At 37.9% G+C, this 20,642-nt stretch overlaps 1 protein-coding gene across 39 annotated transcripts in view; it reads left to right on the top strand.

Moving 5' to 3' along the window:
• The window catches only part of MAP7 (microtubule associated protein 7), a 207,689-nt gene that overhangs the window by 163,057 nt on the left and 23,990 nt on the right, over nucleotides 1-20,642 (top strand). For 13 of the 39 annotated variants that reach the window (NM_001198617.3, NM_003980.6, NM_001198619.2 and 10 more), the window contains 3 exons: nucleotides 3,585-3,695; nucleotides 9,498-9,611; nucleotides 14,741-14,865. In NM_001198617.3, coding sequence (NP_001185546.1) covers nucleotides 3,585-3,695; nucleotides 9,498-9,611; nucleotides 14,741-14,865 — 350 coding nt within the window. Of the gene's footprint in view, nucleotides 1-3,563; nucleotides 3,696-9,497; nucleotides 9,612-14,716; nucleotides 14,866-20,642 lie in introns of all 39 variants that reach the window. The other 26 variants (NM_001388347.1, NM_001198616.3, NM_001388339.1 and 23 more) reach the window with 6 other exon arrangements.

Here is a 20,642-nt window from a genome sequence, read left to right as displayed (position 1 = left end):
TTCTATTTATGTTTTTTATTTCTTTTTTCAATGTCAGGATTAAACCTTTAAAAAATGTTTTTTAGCTAAAAAAATTACCTGGGATCAAAGTACTTCCAGTTTAGCTTTTTTCCCCGTCAATCATTACTGCTGTTGCCACTTTTAGTTTTAAGCTAAATAACTGTGGACCTCTTTTTGTTTGCTTATTCTGTTCTCTTTCATTGTTAACATTCTATAGATCTCTTATAACTGCTTTATTAAAATTAAAAATCTAGGATCAGGTGCAGTACCTCACGCCTGTAATCCTAGTGCTTTGGGAGGCCAAGGCAGGAGGATCCCTTGAGGCCAGGAGTTCAAGACCAGCCTGGGCAACATAGACCCCATCTCTACAAAAAATTCTTTTAAAAAATTAGACAGGCATGGTGGCATGTTCCTATAATCCCACCTACTTAGGAGGCTGAGGCAGGAGGATCACTTGAGGCCAGGAATTTGAGGATACAGTGAGCTAAGAGTCTGCCTTTGCACTCCAGCCTAGAGGACAGAGTGAGAACCTGATTCAGAAATGTAATTTAAAAAATTAAAAATTTGTTTAAGTCCAAGGAATATCACCACAACTTACTTTCTTATGACAGTGAACCAAATATGAAAGCACTTCTGTTTTCTTGGTTGTTCATGACCCAGCAGTAGCTGGTGGGATACATATTAAATCTGTTATACAGATCATTTACATATGAGATTTTGTTGATGGGATATTTTTTATATACCTTTCATACAGTAAACCTGGCAGGGTATATATTTTTATAATCATATATTTGTTTTACCTGACTTCCTGCTTTACATGTATATGGCAGATATACACTGTTAGATCATCAGACATTTTTGAGGAGATGGTAAGCTGCCTAGCTTAATTTTTTGCCTCCACACTCAAAGCTTAATATATGACATTTATTTCTGCCACTCAGAACAAGAGAAACCAGTGTTGCATTCGCAAGCTGTTGGGTAAAATTCATTTTAATACGGGTTGTGAATTATAATAAATTGTTCCTATACTGGAACAGAGAAGTTTGCCAGAAAATAAATGGGATTTGCCAAGTTCTCAAAGACCAGAAAATGATTTGCTATGATCTTGAGAACAGCAACCAGGTCTTATTCATTTTGAATACCCTTTACTTGACAACAATACCTGATGTATGATGGGTACTCTATCATGGTTTGCTGACCAACAAACACATCATAGAAACTGTCTACATTAAAATTCCTGTCTTGGCCAGCTGCTGGCCATCGACTAGCACTGGTCTGTAAAACTTGATACGATCAGCAGGGTGCGGTGGCTCACACCTGTAATCCCAGCACTTTGGGAGGCTGAGGCGGGTGGATTACCTGAGGTCAGGAGTTCGAGACCAGCCTGGTCAACATGGAGAAATCATATCTCTACTAAAAATACAAAAACTAGCCGGCTATGGTGGCACATGCCTGTAATCCCAGCTATTCAGGAGGTTGAGGCAGGAGAATTGCTTGAGCCCAGGAGATGGAGGTTGCAGTGAGCTGAGATTGTGCCACTGCACTCCAGCCTGGCTGGCAGAATGAGACTCTGTCTCAAAAATAAAACAAAAACTTGATACATTAAAAACTTATTCTTTTGTGTGTTTTGTTCGGTGAGAAAAAGAAATGAATAACAACTGTCTTATATATTAAGTAATAAACAAATTCATGGTGTGCCTCCATAATTTTAACAATTTATGGCAGATTTAGATGCTTTACTACTAATGATACTTTTTAGGATACAAGGATCCACTGTAACTCATTTTTTCCACTTACTCTGAAGCAGAATTAAATGTTTTTAATAACCTGTTGAGAATCTGCCTGAGGATAGGCCTGCGTGTGGACACAATTTTCCCCCAACTAAAGCATAACATATAAAGCAATATCAGAAAATGTACTGCTATAAAATCACCTGGAAATGACTTTCGTATTCCTCTTCCTACCCTGTACCTCACATGTCATCACTAGGATGTTCCTTTTGATGTTTGACCCTAAATCCTTTCTTTATGTTTGGATTGCCCTAAGAGTCCATCAGCTAAGTATAAATTTGAGGCACAGAAGTGGTTTTTTTTTTAATAATAAAATTGCTTCAGCCATTAAAATGAATCCCAGCTGAAGATAGAAATGACTGATGTTAATCAAAGACTTGCTTATTACCAGTGTGCTATAAATAGTAGTCAAAAATACACAGGGAAAAGTTTGCAGCAATTTTTTCTTACTGCCAAGGTTAGACCAACGGGTACTGAGTTTTGGAAGCATCTCCCACAAGGAGTATTTTTGTTTTAGTTTTAGAAGCAGGTAACAACAGAAAAATAAAACAAAATACAGCAAAAACCCCTTTCACTTTGGCTACTGTAGATCAGAACATCCACCTGCCTCCTGGATAAATTAGGAATAAGACTTTTTAGACTTTCATTACATGCAGTGTTATTTGAGGAACACCGTTTATCCTAATGAGCATGATTATAACCTGGGTCTACTATACCAACAGCAGGCTGCTAATTCTTGCCTTTTGTATGCTTATTTCCCTTCTGATTTGAACTTAAGAATTCTAAAATTATGCCAGGCACAGTGGCTCATGCCTGTAATCCCAACACTTTGGGAAGTCAAGGTGGAGTATCACTTGAGGCCAGGAATTTGAGACCAGCCTGGGCAACGTAATGAGAACCCCACCTCTACAAAAAAATTAAAATATTAGCTGGGCGTAGTGATGCCTGCCTAGAGTCTTAGCTACTTGGGAGGCTGAGGTGGGAGGATCACTTGAGCCCAGGAGATCGAGGCTGCAGTGAGCTATGATCATGCCAGCCTGGCCAACAGAGCAATACCCTGTCTCCCCAAAAAAAAAAAAAAGAAATTTTAAAATTACTTGACTATAGGATGAACAATGCTATTGTTCATGAATGTGTGTGCTAATTCTACATTTGTAGCCACACTAACTCATAAGCACAGAGCTGTGGCTCTTAGATTTTTAATAAAGGAACGTTTCTTAAAAATCCTTTCCACACTTAGAATGTTTCTTTTACTTTTTCTTTTTTTTTATTTAAACAACAACAACAACAACGAGCCTTCTTCTATAATGAACTTTAATGCCCTGGGTAAAATGACTCTGTAAGCAAAGTTATCAGCAATTACACAGAACCTGGTGTTCTTTTTATCCCAGTGTTTGCGTTCTATGTTACCAGCATGTTACCACTCCATTGTTCCTTCTTTTGGAGATTTCAAAGGCATTCGCTTTTATGGTCCTCTTTTGCTTCATAGTGTGCCTCCACTATTTTAGAAGCCCTTCACTGGCCTTCCTTTTGTCTTCATCCACTTGTATCCTTGAATTTCCATGGCTGACAAGCTGGTGAAATAAATATTTATTTTATCCTTTAAGAGAAATGAATTTTATTTCTAAGCCTTTAAGTTACCTTTAAAATGTCCACTTAGAAAACTGTGTTATTATGACAGATCTAGAAATAGAGCAGAAAGCATCCAATCCTAGTTTTTCCTTCCATCAGTGAACTAGGAAATTGCAATCCTACATGTTGGCTGTCAATTAGCATTATCTCCATTTGTTTTAGATCCAGACAGGCGGTCAGTTTCCACCATGAATCTTTCGAAATATGTTGATCCCGTCATTAGCAAGCGGCTCTCCTCTTCATCTGCAACTTTACTAAATTCTCCAGATAGAGGTACAGTCCAAAGGAAAACAAAAAAGTGTCTGTTATTTACTTAATGCTTTTTTTTCTGGATGTTTACAGATAAAAATAAGCATCTGAAGTTGCTTTCCCTACGTTTCTTAAATAGGAAGAAAAAAACTTCAGAGTAAAAAAGCAATAAACGGCTGAGCAGCATTTTCCTTGCGACAAGAACATTTCTCATTTTAGAACTTGGCTGAGTGATTGCATTTAGCAGTGACGAAAGCGGTGCTTCTCTCAACTTTTTAGTAAATGAGTTTACAGCTCCAGAAATCACCCACTTATCCACCAAAATGCAAATAATCTTTGTTATGAACATTTCTTTTACTTCAATCATACTGTCTTTGGCTTTTCATCTATCTGTACTTTGGGAATTCCAGGCTCTGACTTTCTTTAAAAACTTTTTAAATGATTCAGATTGGTAGATTTTATTTTGCCAATTTACTTCTCATTTAACCAAATTATTTCTTACTGCATTTCTTATGTGTGCTGTTGGTTTTTTGGTGTCCATTCATTAACTCTTGAGGGATCTGGCCTAACTTCAAGAAATCATCATAATTACAGCCTCCTGAAACATTTAATATTCATAGTCCTTTATTAACATCTTGTTTGAATTTTGAGTTTTATTCATCCCATGGATTTACAGTACATGAATGTTGAGTTATTTATAAAGCAAAAGTTTTGTTTTACATAGATCATAGAATGAAAAAAATCAAGCTTTTAAGATAAGCTGCTTGTTTTTACATAACTAAGATGATTTTAAATAAAACCAAAGAATTGTTGTGCAATATGAAGCCCATACTCTTTAAAAGTAAAAAATTGTGGTTACTTTGAGTGCTTTATTAAGAAACTGATTGGGAAAGTTTCAGTGTTTATAATCTTTAAAAAATGTAATGTGTGCATGTTCTGTATGTGTGTATGTATATTTATATATTTTGTATTGTATAAAAGTTATGGTGTCATTGTAATGTACAATATTCTGTGACTGTTGGTGTTATTTTATAACTAATCTCTTAAAATAGTAAATGTTTGAACAACTTTCCATTCTTGTCTTTTAGCCAAAACTCTTTCCTTTTGTTTTTTTAACCTAATTTGCCTAAACCATCAATATTAGACTTGTAGTCAAATTAGGGGCCTTTCATAAATATTGTGAATTTAAATTTCTTTCATATTCTTTATTTTCAAACCTATTCCCTAAATATAAGACAAAATATAGCATGTGAATGTTACTCTTACAGTTGTCTATTCATCTTTTCTTTGCAGTTGGTCACTTAGCACTTTAGTTTCATACTTTTGTGAACCTGGATCTGAGACAAACTACAATTAGTATTTTACACTTCTTTAAAACTTTATTATCTTCTACAATCCCATAGCTGAAATTAGGGTAAGGGTGGGAGTAGGGAGCTAGACAACAAACTTGGCAATATCCTGTCCATGCTGTGGAATGACATTGAATTGTCTGTATCAATTAGAAAGATGTATTCTAGACTCTCTGCACGATAGACCTTCTTAAGGCAGTAGAATCTTGGAACTGAAAAAGATCTACTGGATAGATCACCTACTCTAGTTGGGGTGATAGAGTCCCTAAGAGGTTGCGAGCCTCTCTTTAATGTCCTACAGGCTAATTATTGCAGAAGGGTGACTCCTCACCCGTGTGACCGCCACACTGCATCCTCAGTTCTCACCTTCATGGGTGTCCTTTCTTAGATTGACTCTGACTCCATGCATTCTCTCTCTCTCTCTCTGTGTGTGTGTGTGTGTGTGTGTGTGTGTGTGTGTGTGTGTGTAAGGTTAGAAGTGGTAAGGAGTAGAGAATTAGGACATAGGACATCAGCGTTAAGGGAAGTTCAATAACCAGTTCATAGAGGGGGCCAGAAAACTGCCCTATGAATCATGGTAGAGGCCCAGAAAATAGAATACTAAGCAGAAATAATAGGACAAGAGGGAGAACGCTAGATTTGAGAGTTCTGCTTCTCTGCCTCCTTACCAAAGAACTGTCAATCAGTTCCTGGTCTAGCAGGCCAGGTCAGCCTGAAGGGGCTCCCATATATTGTCTAGGAAGGAATTTTTTTCTTTTTAACTTAAGCAAAGCCCTCAGTAGAACCCTGAAAGGCTTAGGCCTTTTATTATAGTGAGAATTTTAAAACTTCTTCTGAATTTAAATTTCTCTAATTTAGAAATTTAAGGCCAGGCACAGTGGCTCACACCTGTATTTCCAGCACTTTGGGAGGCCAAAGTGGGTGAATCATTTGAGCCCCAGGAATTTGAGACCAGCCTGGGCACCATCGCGAAACCCCATCTCTACTAAAAATACAAAAATTAGCCAAGCGTGATGGTGTGCACCTGTAGTCCTAGTTACTCGGGGGCTGAGGCAGGGGGATCACCTAAGCCTTGGGAGGTCAAGACTGTGGTGAGCTATGATTGTACCACTGTACTCCAGCCTGGGCAATAGAGTGAGATCGTATCTCAAAAAGAAAATAATTAAAAATAAATAAAAGAAATTTAAGTAATTCCATTAGTTCTTTCCTGCTATTTTTAAAAGTTAGTTATACTTTATTATCTCATTAGAAAGCATTCTTACCAGATTGTTAAATTAGAGGACCTTATAGACAAATGGGTCAAGCAGGTATATACATCATTATTAGATTGTTTGAGCTTTCTCAGTCCTAAGGCATAGGCCTTAAAGCTGAGATTAAATTGAGGCTCCGATACCATCAGGGCTCATGTTCTGCTGTAATATATCCAAAGAGCTCTACTAGTTATTAAAAATACTGAAATATTTCCATATCACTTTTCCAAGATGTGCTTCCCCGGGCCCTCCAAAGCCAAGGGAAGCCAGTCATTAGTGTAGTGTCTGTGCCTTGTCAGTTTTTAAATATTTTAATTATTACACCTGAATATGGTGTTACATGGACTGATAAGATTACTTTGGTTAAAAGAAACCTCTGATTATGAAAGGTTTCTGTAATTGCTGGAACAGAATGTTGCCACTGGAAATTTTTACATTAAAAGTATATATTATTATCTTTAAGCTATCTGCTTAACCAACTTTTTCTCAAGAAAGAATATTAGGAAGTTGGAAAAGAGTAAGAAAAATTGCCTACTTTTTGCTTAAAATCCATCAATACATTTTTTCCCCAGAATCTTCATCATAGGACTCAGAGGTAGACCTCGAAATAAATTCTGCTCACAGGCTTGTTCTGTTTTACCTGAGCAGTGTTGTTTGTTCTTGTTTTAATTAGAATTAATTGCCAACACTTAAAATATAGAATACTTCATGTAACATTTCAGTTTTCTACTTCTAAAGAAAAAATCAGGACCTGGCAACATGTGTCTAATTTCTTCCTGGCACCTATTACCTGAAATGGAATAGTGATGTCACGCTTATGGGAGGAAGTGGTAAGGCAGGTATCCATAAAGTTTGTTTAGCCCCGATCATTTATTTATGTTAACTTGCATGGCCCCCAGAGGCCTTTGAGTTTGCCTCTCTTCATCTGGGTGGCCTATAATGGAAATTGTCAATATCTCAATTTTAAGTGCTTAAATAGGATCGATGCCATAGCGTTGTTCCATGAGAGTTAATATCTCTCCCTTCGGTTTGGTAATCTTAAAATCAGGCCCCTCTAGGGGAAAAAAACAAACTAACAAAACAAAAAACAACAACAACAACAATGCACCAATTCTCCTTTATTAACCTTTACTAAAAAGTTATCTTACGGACGCTCTGTCTCCATCTTGGTCAAGGCATAGTTATGAATGTGGTGGAAGTGGAAACATGTTTCTCCTAGCAATATGTTTAGTTCAGAGTATCAGGAGATATGAAACAGATCTCTCTGGATTTGCTTTACCACAGGTTACAATGGGTTTTTAATCATTTGAGATAAATTTTTTGGTCGATGCCTTCAGACTCATGGAAATAAAGTAACTGAACTTCTTAATGGAGAAAGGAGACTTATCTTTTCCATGACAACCCATCTCTGCAGTTGTAAGCCACAGTCATCGTACAGTTTTTCTAAGAAAAGGAAGAGTTTAACTTTCTTCCCTTTCTCATCTCTTGAAAATAGTTCTGTGGAAGATTTTCAGTTAGTCCTAATCACCTTTTCCCCACTGATTTTACCCTGTACATGTATTCTAATTTTAGATTGTATTCTATTCTGTTGTTACACTGCTGCACATAGCTTATGATAGTACTTAGCCCGTGGTGCTTTCTAATTGTAACTATTGCAGTAGTTTTTATAACATCTTTTTAATTAATCTTAATGTCAGATAATATTTAATTTAACCATGAAGACTCTTCTAGTAAACAGACTCTAACAAACAATTCACTAATTCTTAAATTCACCAGAGCCTGATCAAAATATTTACTCTTTTAAATTAGTCACATAGTTAAGGTACTTATTGGAAATTGATACTTCATTCCAAATGGAAGCAACTATTTTTAAGACAATGTTTAGCAGTATATGGCTTTTATTAATTAAAACTAATTTCCTAGCATTTAAATGCCATTCACTTAAAATATGATATATTTAAGATAGTTATATAGAACACTGCTCCAGAGGCAAAGGAGACTTTGCCACCTGCTGTTTGTGGAGTGGAACAGAAGCAGCCTTTTCAGGTGTAGACAGTTTTAAAGACTTTTAATCCAGTCACAGTGGCATGCACCTGTAAACCCAGCTACTTGGGAGGCTGAGGAAGGATTGCTTGAGCCCAGGAGTTCAAAATCAGCCTGAGCAACATGGCAAGATCCCTGTCTTAAACAAAAACACAAACAAAACTTTTAAAAGTGACAGGAATGTGTTCTAAAACAAAGATATGTAATCACTTCAGTGATATTTGTAGAATTTTGCAAGCTTTACTGATATTTTTGGAAAATAGCTTCTATCTTTTCATGAGCCATCACTGGAAACTAACCATATAAGCAAAGTAATTAATTTATAATTGGCATACATGTCCTGACTATGGCCTTGCTAAGCTCCAATATAATTTGGGACCATACATCATTGCGTTATTTTAAATTTGTTTTCTAGACTTCTTAGGCATCCACTAGCAATCTCTAGGATTATGTTTATATTGGATTTTGGCTTTTCTGTTTAATTTTATCTTGCTTCAGCCTTAGCCTTGTCCTTGGCCAAATTTTTTATATTGTTGCCAAAAAGGGACCTGAAAGAACTTGGCTTGCCAAGTGAAAAGGTCAAAAGGATTCCCATACAGAACTTTGCACGAATCTTCTTTCATTTTATTATATCTAATTCCCACACACATACTCCCATTGCCCAAGTAGCAATTCATGGAGATCTAGCATAATTTATTGGGTCCCCTTTCTGTCTTTTATTTAACTCGTCTTTCATTAACCTGCCAGTGCCTCTATTGGGGTTTATTATTCAAGGTACTTAGGAAGCCTTTTGACTAAGGTATGTGCCATCAGTCTACTGCCCATCCCAATGCCCATCAGACAGTACCACTCTGGAGTTATAGATATACACCAAAACAATAGCTGAAATGGTATTTTTTGTTTATTGCTAGTTGACTAGTAAAAGAGGGTGGTTAGCAAAATTTGCATCTGTAAAACTAATTTAGAGCTTGCTACAAACTTAACATCTTGAAGAAAAGCAACCTGGTGGAATAACTGCTCCCTCTGGACAGGGGTCCTGTTGCCCTGACTCTTGGCCAACCATCCTCCCTGCAGAGCCTGGTCCTGTGAAGGCCCAGCGTATGGAAGCAATAGGTACGATGTATTATGCCCTCTTGACTCTGAAAAGAATGCTTCTAACATCTTGCTTATGTGGTGACGTTTAGCTCGCCGCCTGCAGCTCAGCCCATGGGAGAGCAGCGTTGTTAACAGACTCCTGACGCCCACACATTCGTTCCTGGCCAGAAGTAAAAGCACAGCTGCCTTGTCTGGAGAAGCAGGTAAAACTGTCCAGGTGGAACTTTCCCCATGAGGTCAAGTCCTCCCTTTGAAGCATATTCGTCTAATCACATCTCACTTTTTCCTAAAATGCGCTTCTCTCTTCCCCCGGTGGAAATGTCTGTCGGTGTTGGTTTCATACCCCTGTCATTGTTTCCTCTGGGCATCTGCCTTAGCATCTTATCTGGACACCAGACGCCAGGCAGGCTGATGAAGCCTCTCCCCGGGCTCCGATGGCTTCAGAGGCTTCTGTCTGTTCATAACATTACCCGAAGAAAGTATTCCTTCCCTGCCTTTCCTTCTGCCTCTGTCTCTGAGCAGATAATCCAAGGTAGAAATAATTTAACATTTAATGCTAATATATGGACTTGGGAATAAAATCAAAGCGCAAGTCTGTTATTTCAGCATATAGTTTCATAATGTGGCTGTGGCATAGCTACTACTTCTCCCTGTGCCATTCTTTTATATGTAATCTAGGAATTGTACCCTTCCAGAACTCTCAGAGTTGTGGAGTAGGCTAATTGTAATATGCTTATTTGTTACATTCTTTGAAATTATATGAAACATGCTTAGTACCAGTTATGATGATTGGTTATAACTCCTACTTTTTTGAAATGCAAAACATACCTGAATTAGCCAGTTAATTTAATGAGAAGTTAGTGTGGAGCCTACATCTAGTCGGTAAGCCTACATCTAGTCGGTAAGCCTACATCCAGTTGGTAAGAAAGGCTTTGGGTAACGGATCTCTCCTGGTGAGTTGATTTAGGTTTTCCCAAATATCTTTGGGGACAATTGGTGTATTTATATAAACAGTCTACTAGCCCTCATCTTTGGCACTTTAAAAGTGCTTTGCCCTTGCAAGCCTCTCCATGTTCATTAGCCTGCTTTTAAGTAATAATTGTTGGTGGTTTTATGGTGTCTTTCATCTGCAGTGCCCAATGAGCGAATAAATCTCAGTCCTAAATCTCATAGTACCCCTGGGAGACAGTCACGAAGGCAAGCGTGGGCATTCCCACAACCTTCTTATGAAAACCAAGTGCAGCGACAATAAGTGACTTACACCAAAGCCACTTAGAAAATGGGCAGACAGGATCATAAATGTGCTTTCCCCTCCATCCTCAATGCCCTGAATGATGCTTTATGTGCAAATGTGCAGTCAACTAGCTGAACCACAGTGTTCTGTGTTCTCTGTAAAGTCACACTCCTGTCAGAGCCATCACATTGCATCTGAGGTTTTCCTGGAGGAGGAGAAAGTACAGCTTATTTCAATATTTTTTCTTATGCCTATGAATTTCACACTTTTCTACAAGTCATGAGTTTTTCTTTAGCTAATTGAAAAGCTTTTAAACCACTTTTCAGGCCGGGCGTGGTGGCTCACGCCTGTAATCCCAGCACTTTGGGAGGCCGAGGTGGGCAGATCGTTGAGGTCAGGAAATCGAGACCATCCTGGCTAACACGGTGAAACCCCGTCTCTACTAAAAATACAAAAAATTAGCCGGGCGTGGTGGCGGGCGCCTGTAGTCCCAGCTACTGTGGAGGCTGAGGCAGGAGAATGGCATGAACCTGGGAGGCGGAGCTTGCAGTGAGCTGAGATCACACCACTGCACTCCAGCCTGGGGGATAGAGCGAGACTCCGTCTCAAAAAAAAAAAACCGCTTTTCAGTCCTATTTTCTAGCATTTAGCTGGTTTATGGCTGTCATGCTTCTGAATCTCCCCTTGTATGCTGTGTTGTGCTAAAGGACTGCCTCACAGCTGGGAAATTGTCTTTACTATTTTTGTCATCACTAACTCTTGTCACTTCTTTCACTCTCCCTCTAGTCTTTTCCAATACTGTTTCCTCATTTTCCACCCATTCTACTTGCCCATCTTCTCCCCTTCTTTGTTGTTATGCTCAACCAAGGTGCTTTTTTATCTGCAAACCGGCTCTTTATTTTGACACATTTCCATTCTCCTTTTCACAAGTTGATATGTTTCTGTAATTTATTTTAGTGTGAAAGAGTGCATAGCCTTTACTTGAGCTGCCTGTTTTGTCAATACATTGCCTGCTTCATTGTCACCAGTTTCATCGATACAGCTTATGTTTAATGAACCAAAATTCCTGGGGTTTTTTAAAATTTTCATTTAGAAGTATATATGCAAACATCTCTTCCGATTATCTTGTCAAAACCACATTTTCCATCATTTTTATTTTTCATCTATTGTCCTTGATTATTCTTTCATGTTTTCCCATTTTAGTGTTGTCCCTCAACCTCATCATATTCCTAATTGCCATTGGCAAGAAGGTAACCTATAATATGTCCTGTACTGGGTTACATCAGCAGATTAAACAGCTACTTTTAGCCCTGGGATATAGAGTGATTGCAAACTCCCTGCACAAACAATACAGTAGTTGAGAACTGGAACTCCCAGTCTCACACCTCTCATTTGCAGCCACTGCTTTGGGTTGACTTTTCTATACTTTTTTTCCCCGGGACATTCAAAATACAAGTGATTATTAGAGCTCAGGATTAAATAATGTATATGCAATGCTTAGACTAGTACCTGCACATAGTAGGCCCTCAGTAAATGCTAGTACCGTATTACCATATTATGCCATTTTTCTTTTTGCTATGCTACATTTCAACTACTTGACCTGCATTATCTTTTCTCTGCACCCATTATTTCGTATAGAAAATCCTGAACGAGTTCAATTAATGCATACTTACCACCAAGAGTAGGATCAAATACATATATTGTGGGAGACTTTCTTAAAGACATTTTCGTGAGACAGTGTTCATGTTTAATTAACTATTTGGGATATGAAGTGTACTCTGGGAAAAAATAACTATATATTGTTATTATTTCTTAAGAAGGGCAAGATTATTCAAATAATTGATTTGAAGATTTCAGGTTTTTCAGTACTTGCTATTCAGTGCAGCAATGAATTCCATGAAATCTAATATCCTTACAAGAAACTTAGGTTTATTTTAGCCAAAAGATGTTCTTTGGACTAAATTTGAGGATGTTTTTCTATGGACTATACTAGCTAGGTTTAAGGATATTTTCAACCCATATTTAGTATCATGTCAACATTAAAATAAAGAATAAACCAGAGGCCTGGTGATATTGGCTTACATCCATGATAGCTTCAGGAAATGCTCCATAGATACTTCATGAAATTGTTATTTTCCACTTGAGAGAAAAATCATATTTCTGTACTTCATTCCTTTTTCAGTGTCAGACCCATGGCCTCCAAGCAGAGCTGTTTTCTAGGGTTTCTTGATCCTTGAGCAAGGTGAATGGCCTCCGGCTGTGCCCTGAGCAGTGCGTGCCTCTGCCCCCGGTTATTAATCCCCAGAAGTGCCTTGTGCCAGGATGTTATTTCTTAAATGCATTTGATTGGCTTGGAAGAATTTTGCATTAGTGAACTCTTGTCTAGAAAATGCAAATGCCTTGTTGTGGCGCTTGAGAAAAGATTATTTTCAAAGAGTTTTTCCTGTGATCCCAGGCAAAATGACAAAGAGATTCCCTTCCTTCACAATACAAATCCTTCCTTCTCCATTAAGGTTGGAAGTAAAGCTTTATGTCAGTTTCCAATTAAGACGTACATATATTATTTTAAGGAAAACTGAAGAAATGAAAAAGTGTTTTAGTTTGTCCTGAAGAAACAGAATTCTGTTTTCAAATGATGGGAAAAGAGACCGGTTTCCAATCTATTCACTGTCAAGGCTGCAGTGAGCCGAGATGAGATCGTGCCACTGCACCTCAGCCTGGGCAACAGAGTGAGATCCTGTCTCAAAGCAGAACAAAACCATGCAGTGATAGCCAGAAGATACTGCCAGGCATTTAATGAAAGAGTGCATTAATAAAGATGCAATCTGATTGACTTTCTGTCTGTAAATTAAACCCAAATAGCAAATCTTTTTTCAACTCTATAATCCTGAAGTTAAGATCACCCCAAGTTTGTCTTGTGAACTTTTGAGTTAAGTTATTAATCCTCTTACATTCAGCTGGCATAGTGGTTTCTTTAAAGGGTTGCTACAAAGACTACAGTTGAGAAGTCCTTTTATAACCATGTCCAAATACATAGTATTCTCTATACTTGTGTTTAATTGTCTTATTTTTGCTAGGAAATAAAATTTCTGAATGAGATCTGAAAATGGACCTTAGAACCTGAATACTCACACTTTTGATACCTATGCAGTGTTATATGAATTTCCTTAAACCCACTGTTGTTTGCAATAAGTTGATTCATGACAGTGTTCCTTGGAAGGTAATGGTCAGAAGCTATGTAGTTTTTCATAAAATATTCCATCTTGAGTAAAACTGTAAAGGTTCTTCACGGTTCAACCTTACATTTGGCAGATCTAACATATTTCTGTTCTATTCAACATTTTAAATAGATATAGCTAATCTCCCCATATGCTCTAATGCTGCTTCTTATGAACTATCAAATGCCTTGGCTTTTGGGAAAACCCGGAAGCATGCATTTGGTTTGCCTATAAATAAATAAGACATGTACAGAATATTTTCCTGGAAAAGTATTACTTATCCTCGTGACAAGTCTTAACACCTGGTAAGACTTGTTCACTTAACATTTTTTAAGTTTGGTTGCTTTTTTCCCCTGCTGGCTGTTGAATTTGAATCCTGAAACAGTTGTAGTATATCTTGCTTGCCTGCTTGCACGCTTCCTCTCTTTCCACCTTTTGTTCCATCTTAAAGCTAATTTAGGAAAAGTCTGGTTATAAACTAGTCTTTATATAAAAATTATCTTTTATCACTAATGTAGTTTTTTTTCCAGAACCATCAGCTAATAGGAATATAAGACCATTGCTCTCCATAATTACTGGATTACTTCTACATCTTTCATTAGTATTTAAAGAGCCAAAGAGCTAACAATATATTCCAGATTTTTTACGTGGACATGCCTTCCTTTTGGACTCATCATAAATTCATAGGACTGTAAGGACAGTTGAGTATGATGGTTCTGGGCACCTTTAGGTAATAACATCTTCTTCCTACTTTTCTCTCTATCTCTGCTTTGCTCCTTTTCCTGAACCTGCTTTTGGCTTTCTTCAACTGCTCCTCTGGCACTCTTGTGTGTAAAACCAATCACCTGCACCCTAGTTATCCCCATTTGTCCTCGTTCAGCATCTTGCAGCCCCATCATCATGCCCTACAAAGCTGCACACTCTAGAAATTCGATGGATCGACCAAAACTCTTTGTAACACCACCTGAGGGCTCTTCTCGCAGGAGGATCATTCATGGCACAGCGGTGAGTAGCTGTTGGGAGCAGCTGGGCAAGTCTGGGAGCCAGTGCTGTTCCTGTGCAGACTGTACATGACCCTGAGCTGTGGTGTGGGCGTAAGAGGGGGAGACCGTGACATCCACCATCCCATCTTTCCCATTGATCATGAATCTGGCTAGCTGGGCAGTAGTGTCCCCTCACTTCCTCTTCACTTGGGGATTTTGCTCTCCCTAAACATTTGAATTTGAAGATGAAAGCTGTTCTTTGTTCAAGCATGTATGAGTGGACGCCCTACCCTCCTGGAGCGTCCATACACATAAGTACAATGCCAGAATACTTTCATTTTTGAAAGTAGGAAAACCAAATGGCCTTTGAAGGGGAAGTGGGCTTGGACTGCTGCCTTGGCATTTTATTTCAACCATATCCAGAAGCTGGCTGAACTCTAAATGTGGTTCACTCAAAAGCAAGATAAAGAATTTTTATCCTGCTTGGCTAATCCCTGTCAAGGCCCTGTCAAGGGATCTTAAAATTTAGTCAAAAAAGTATTTTGAAAACATTAGTCATTTGCTATATCACTAATTCGTAAAAGGCTGTTAGGCTGTGCTATAAATTCTGATTTTGTAAGTGAAAAATATAATTTGTACTTATTATTACGGGCTGAGGTAATGTTAATTTTCACCATGCTATAAATGCAATGAGGTAATTTGTATGTCTCCAGGAATCTTCTTCTTTGTTTTAAATCTTGTGTTTATTTGGTGTCAGTTGAAAGATATAAACCTTGTTCTGTGGTCTTTAGACATTGTACTTTAGTCTTAAAGGACTCACCAGTGAACTAGAAGATCTCATTGCCTCTCTCCAGGATAACAGTATGACCCTTTTGATGAAAGGCTGAAACAGTTTCTTAAAATCGTAACTTCCCAGAGCAATTCAGATTTATAAACCTGATGGACACTTAAAAGGATTTTGCTTAAAGGATAATTCAGGGTTGTGAGAGCTTGATGGCTTTGCCTACAGCCTGTTTTTCTTTCAAGCTCCATCGGCCTTTCTGGAATCAGTGTTTGATTCATGATTGAGTCAGGCCTCCAACCCTCTAAGCCACAGGTGAAACAATCTTTGATGTCTGGAAAGTTTTAATTTATTAGAGTGTTGGTGTTTCAGAGATCCTCCTTAGCTGTAGACAGAAAGCCGTAGTTAAACAGAACAGGTTGGCCCCAAAGTTGGGTACTCACTGGGCAGGGGAAAAGAGCATTTACCATGGAAAAACTATCTTGTTCTGGGTAAAAACAAAAATTAACACTCCTTGAGAGAAGGTTGAGGGCCACCTGTGGCTGACAGGTTAAATGAGAGATTTGTCATCACATGATCCAGAGCCTTGTTTTGTTTTGTTTTTATTACCTTCCTCTTTCTCTATTTAATCACATAGCTGTCTTTTTACCTCTTTACAACCAAGTATTTAGGCAAATACTAACAGAAAACGACTCAGAGTCATTTATACCCTGGAGCTGCACTGTGGAATTCAGTAGTGACTGGCCACAGTGAGCACTTGGAAAGTGGCTACTGAAACTGACAAGCTAAATTTTAAGTTTTTAAAAAATATTTAGTTGTGTTAAAAAAAAAAAAAAGCATGTAACGTAAAATTTACCATTTTAATCATTCTAAAGTTCAGCAGTGTTAAGTATATTCATATTGAAGTGCAACCAATGTCCAGAACTTTTTAAGTCCTGCAAAACTCAAACTCTATACCCATTAAACAACTCCCCATTTCCCCCTCCCCCCAGGCCCTGGCAGCCACTGTTTTAATTTCTGTTCCTATGAATTTAGCTACTTTATAGACCACATAAAAGTGAAATCATGCAGTGTTTGAATTTTTGTGCCTGGCTTATTTCACTTAGCATAATGTCCTCAAGGTTCATTCTTATTATAGCATATGTCAGAATTTCCTTCCTTTTTAGGGCTGAATTATATTCCATTATATTTGTATACCACATTTTGTTTATCAGTTCATGTGTTGGTGAACATTTGGGTTGCTTTCACCTCGTGGCTATTGTGAATAACGCTGCTATGAACATGGGAATATAGATATCTCTAGAGATTGTTCTTTCAATTTCACTTGATATATAGGGATTGCTGGATCATATAGTAATCCTATTTTCAATTTTTTGAGGAGCCTCCATGCCATTTTCCACAGCAGCTGTACCATTTTACATTCCCACTAACAGTGCACAAAGATTTCTGTATCTCCACATTCTCGCCAACAATCGTGATCTTGTTTTTTGATAACAGCCACCTTAAGGAATGTGAGGTGATGTCTTGTAGTTTTGGTTTGCATTTCTTTAATGATCAGTGATGGTGAACATATTTTCATATGCTTGTTGGCTTTTCATGTGTCATCGTTAGAAAAATGGCAATTCCAGTCTTTGCTCACTTTTTAATGGGGTTATTTTGTTTTTGTTGAATTGTAGAGTTATTTATATATTCTAGTAGTAACCCCTTATTAAATATATGACTTACAGATACTTTCTTCTATTCCATAGGTTGCCTTTTTACTCTACTGATTGTTTCCTTTGATATATAGAAGTGTTTAAGTTTGATGTTGTCCCATTTGTTTATTGTTAATTTATTGACACTTTATTGCCTACGCTTTTAGTGTTATATCCAAGAAATCAGTACCAAACACAGTGTCATGAAGCTTTTCACTTATGTTTTCTTCTAGAGGTTTTATAGTGTTAAGTCTTACATTTAAGTCTTTAATCCATTTTGAGTTAACTTTTGTATATTTTAGAAGGTAAGAGTCCAACTTCATTCTTTTGCATTTGGATATCCAGTTTTCCCTGCATCATTTGTTGAAGAGAATGTCCTTGTTTCATTGAGTGGTGTTAGCTTTTGACCATATACACAAGGGTTTGTTTCTGGGCTCTGGATTCTATTCCATTGGTCTATATATCTTTTTTTTTTTTGAGACAGTCTCACTCTGTCACCCATGCTGGAGTACAATGGCACAATCTCAGCTCACTGCAACCTCTGCCTCCCAGGCTCAAGCAATTCTCATGTCCAGCCTTCTGAGTAGCTGGGAATACAGGCATGTGCTACCACGCCCATCTAATTTTTGTATTTTTAGTAGAGAGAGGGTTTCGCCATGTAGGCCAGGCTGGTCTTGAACTCCTGACCTCAAGCGATCCACCCATCTCGGCCTCCCCAAATGCTGGGATTGCAGACATGAGTCGTAGTGCCCAGCCCCATATATCTATATCTGTCTTGATACCATTACCACACAGTACTGATCACTGTAGCTTTTCACCAATTGAGTATCTCTAATTCAAAAATACAGAATGCTCCAAAATGTGAAACTTTTTGAATACCAACATGACACTCAAAGGAGATGCTCATTGGAGCATTTCACATTTCCAGTTATATGGATTAAGGCTGCTAAAGCAGTAAGTGTTAATGCAAGTATTCCAGAATCTGAAATCTGCACACTGTAATCCCAATCATTTTGGATAAGGGATACTCAACCTGTAATATGTTGTGAAATCAGGAAATGTAAGAATTCCAACTTTGTTCTTTTTCAAGATTATTTTGGTTCTTCAGGATCCTTTGAAATTTTCTGTGAATTTTGGGTTGAATTTTTATATTTCTGCAAAAATAAAAAATTATATTGGGATTTCAATAGGGAATGCATGGAATCTGTGGATCCCTTTTGGTAGTAGTGACATCCTAACAGTATTAAATCTTCTAATCCCTGCACACAGGACTTCCTTCCATTTATTTGTGTTGCCTTTAATTTCTTTCAGCACTATCTTCTAGTTTTCAGTATGCAGATCTTTAGCCTCCTTTGTTAAGTTCATTCCTAAGTACTTTATTCCTTTGGATGCTATAGGAAATAGAGTTGTTTTTCAAATTTCCTTTTCTATTTTACTTAATTTGAATTAATTTAGATTTAAATTCAAATAGGCAAATGTGGTTAGTGGCTAAATTTAGAACATCTTCATCATATCAGAAAGTTCTATTAAACAGCACTGCGTTAAAGTATCTGTCAGTGAATCGTCTCTGTTGGAGGATATTTATACTGTATTCTAAACCTACCTTAATTATAAAATTAAAGTCCTTTTCCTGCTGATATGTTGCCCAGACCATTGACTTGCTGAGTATGTGTTCCCCCTCAGCATTGTGGAAACTATTAATAGGAAAGATGATTGTATAGATGGTGGGCTATTAACTCAGATCAGGATGAGAATTGGGAGTGCCTTTACATGTGTGGTACCCAAATGGGTGGTTGGATATAAGAGTAACAAAAGGACTGAAAGGTTTAAAAAAGAAAGAAAAAAAAAAACTCCCTGGTTGGGAGGGTGTTAAGTATCGAGTGTTTTTCCAAACCATTCCTCCTCTGCTCACCTACCCCTAGGTGATTAAAGGAGATAACTTTTAAAAAAGAAAGAATTGGCTCAAAGGTACTGTAATTCTAGGATTATATACCTTTATATAGGTTCATTCCCTGATCCCTGTATTATCAAGGCACAGATAATAATAATCCCCAACCACCCCCACGCCACATCAAAAATTGTCCCTCTTGAGTCTTTTTCCCATTTACATCACCCATTGATCTGATTTCAGCCAAATCAAAATGTTTTGAGAAAAAGAAAAAAAAAGAAGGGCTACTTGAGGTACTTAACCCCAGTCTCCCCTGGGAAAAGACCTGGGCATGCCACCCTGTACACCAGCCAGGAGTGCCCCATATGGTGGCTGCAGCTTTTGATACCCAAAGCCCACAGCAGCTCTGTGAGGCCCCACCTCCTACTTTTGGGGACCTAAAATGGGAGAAATGGTGGTTGAGCAGCTGGAAATGATGCAGAGCTGGCACACACCTTGTGAAGCTCTTCTCTGCCTCTTTCTTCATTTTTTCTGTTTAGAAATCCCAGGGAGACAATGAGCATTATTTGACACTTAAATGTTTTTGCTCCTCTGATAACCCAGACCATCAACTAGGATGCTGCTAAGGAAAATGGAGGGAAGCAATTAAAAGGGACACTGAGGGGAACAAAAGGGAAAGGAAGGAAAAGAGGAGTCGATGCTTGAGCCAGGCAGAAAAGGAGAGAAGAAAAGGTACAGTACTAGTTCATGTGACCTGGGGCTAGATAATACTCTGCCCCTTCCCATGTACGCTTGCAGTCTGCCCTCCTGACAGGTGTTCACATAGGTGCCTCCAGCACGTGCCCCTCCCACCTGAGGGCATTGTCAGGTTTCAGATACTTGGAATGGGTCTGTTTTGCTCTGTACAATTTTTGTTTGTTTGTTTTGGTCTTCATTGACTTTAGAGTAGTGGAACACTTCTCTGGGCTTCCCTTTGCCCATTTTGACTTAGGAAAGTGTCATCTCTCAAGCTGAATTCCTAGTTGGCAATCAGGGAGGGGTGATGTTTTGGCCCACCTTCAGATTTCAGTTTATTCCTGGTAAGGAAGAGCAAAAAAATAAATAGCTGAAATTCCTCACTTTAAACCTGACTTTTCTTCAAAATCACCTATTGTATCAGTTATCTATTGCTGCAAGAGGACAGTAGGTGAAGAAGGACTTGATTCCATTATACAACATCAATATAAAAGAAAAAAATGAGTTTATGTCTAATATAGCAGGCATATAATTTTTTTAAAGACTGAGATATAGTGTGTTTGGGGGGAAAATGTTGAAGAATTAAAAAGAAAAAGATGTGTTTTAATTAAAATTTTTTAAAAAATGAAAGTAACATTTGACATTTGTGGGGGATAAACCAGAATGGGACGTTTTGCTTCAGGTAATTAATTTTAGACACA

Source organism: Homo sapiens, chromosome 6, assembly GCF_000001405.40.
Source record: "Homo sapiens chromosome 6, GRCh38.p14 Primary Assembly".
Lineage (NCBI taxonomy): Eukaryota > Metazoa > Chordata > Mammalia > Primates > Hominidae > Homo > Homo sapiens.
This window is presented reverse-complemented; position numbering and strand designations above follow the sequence as displayed.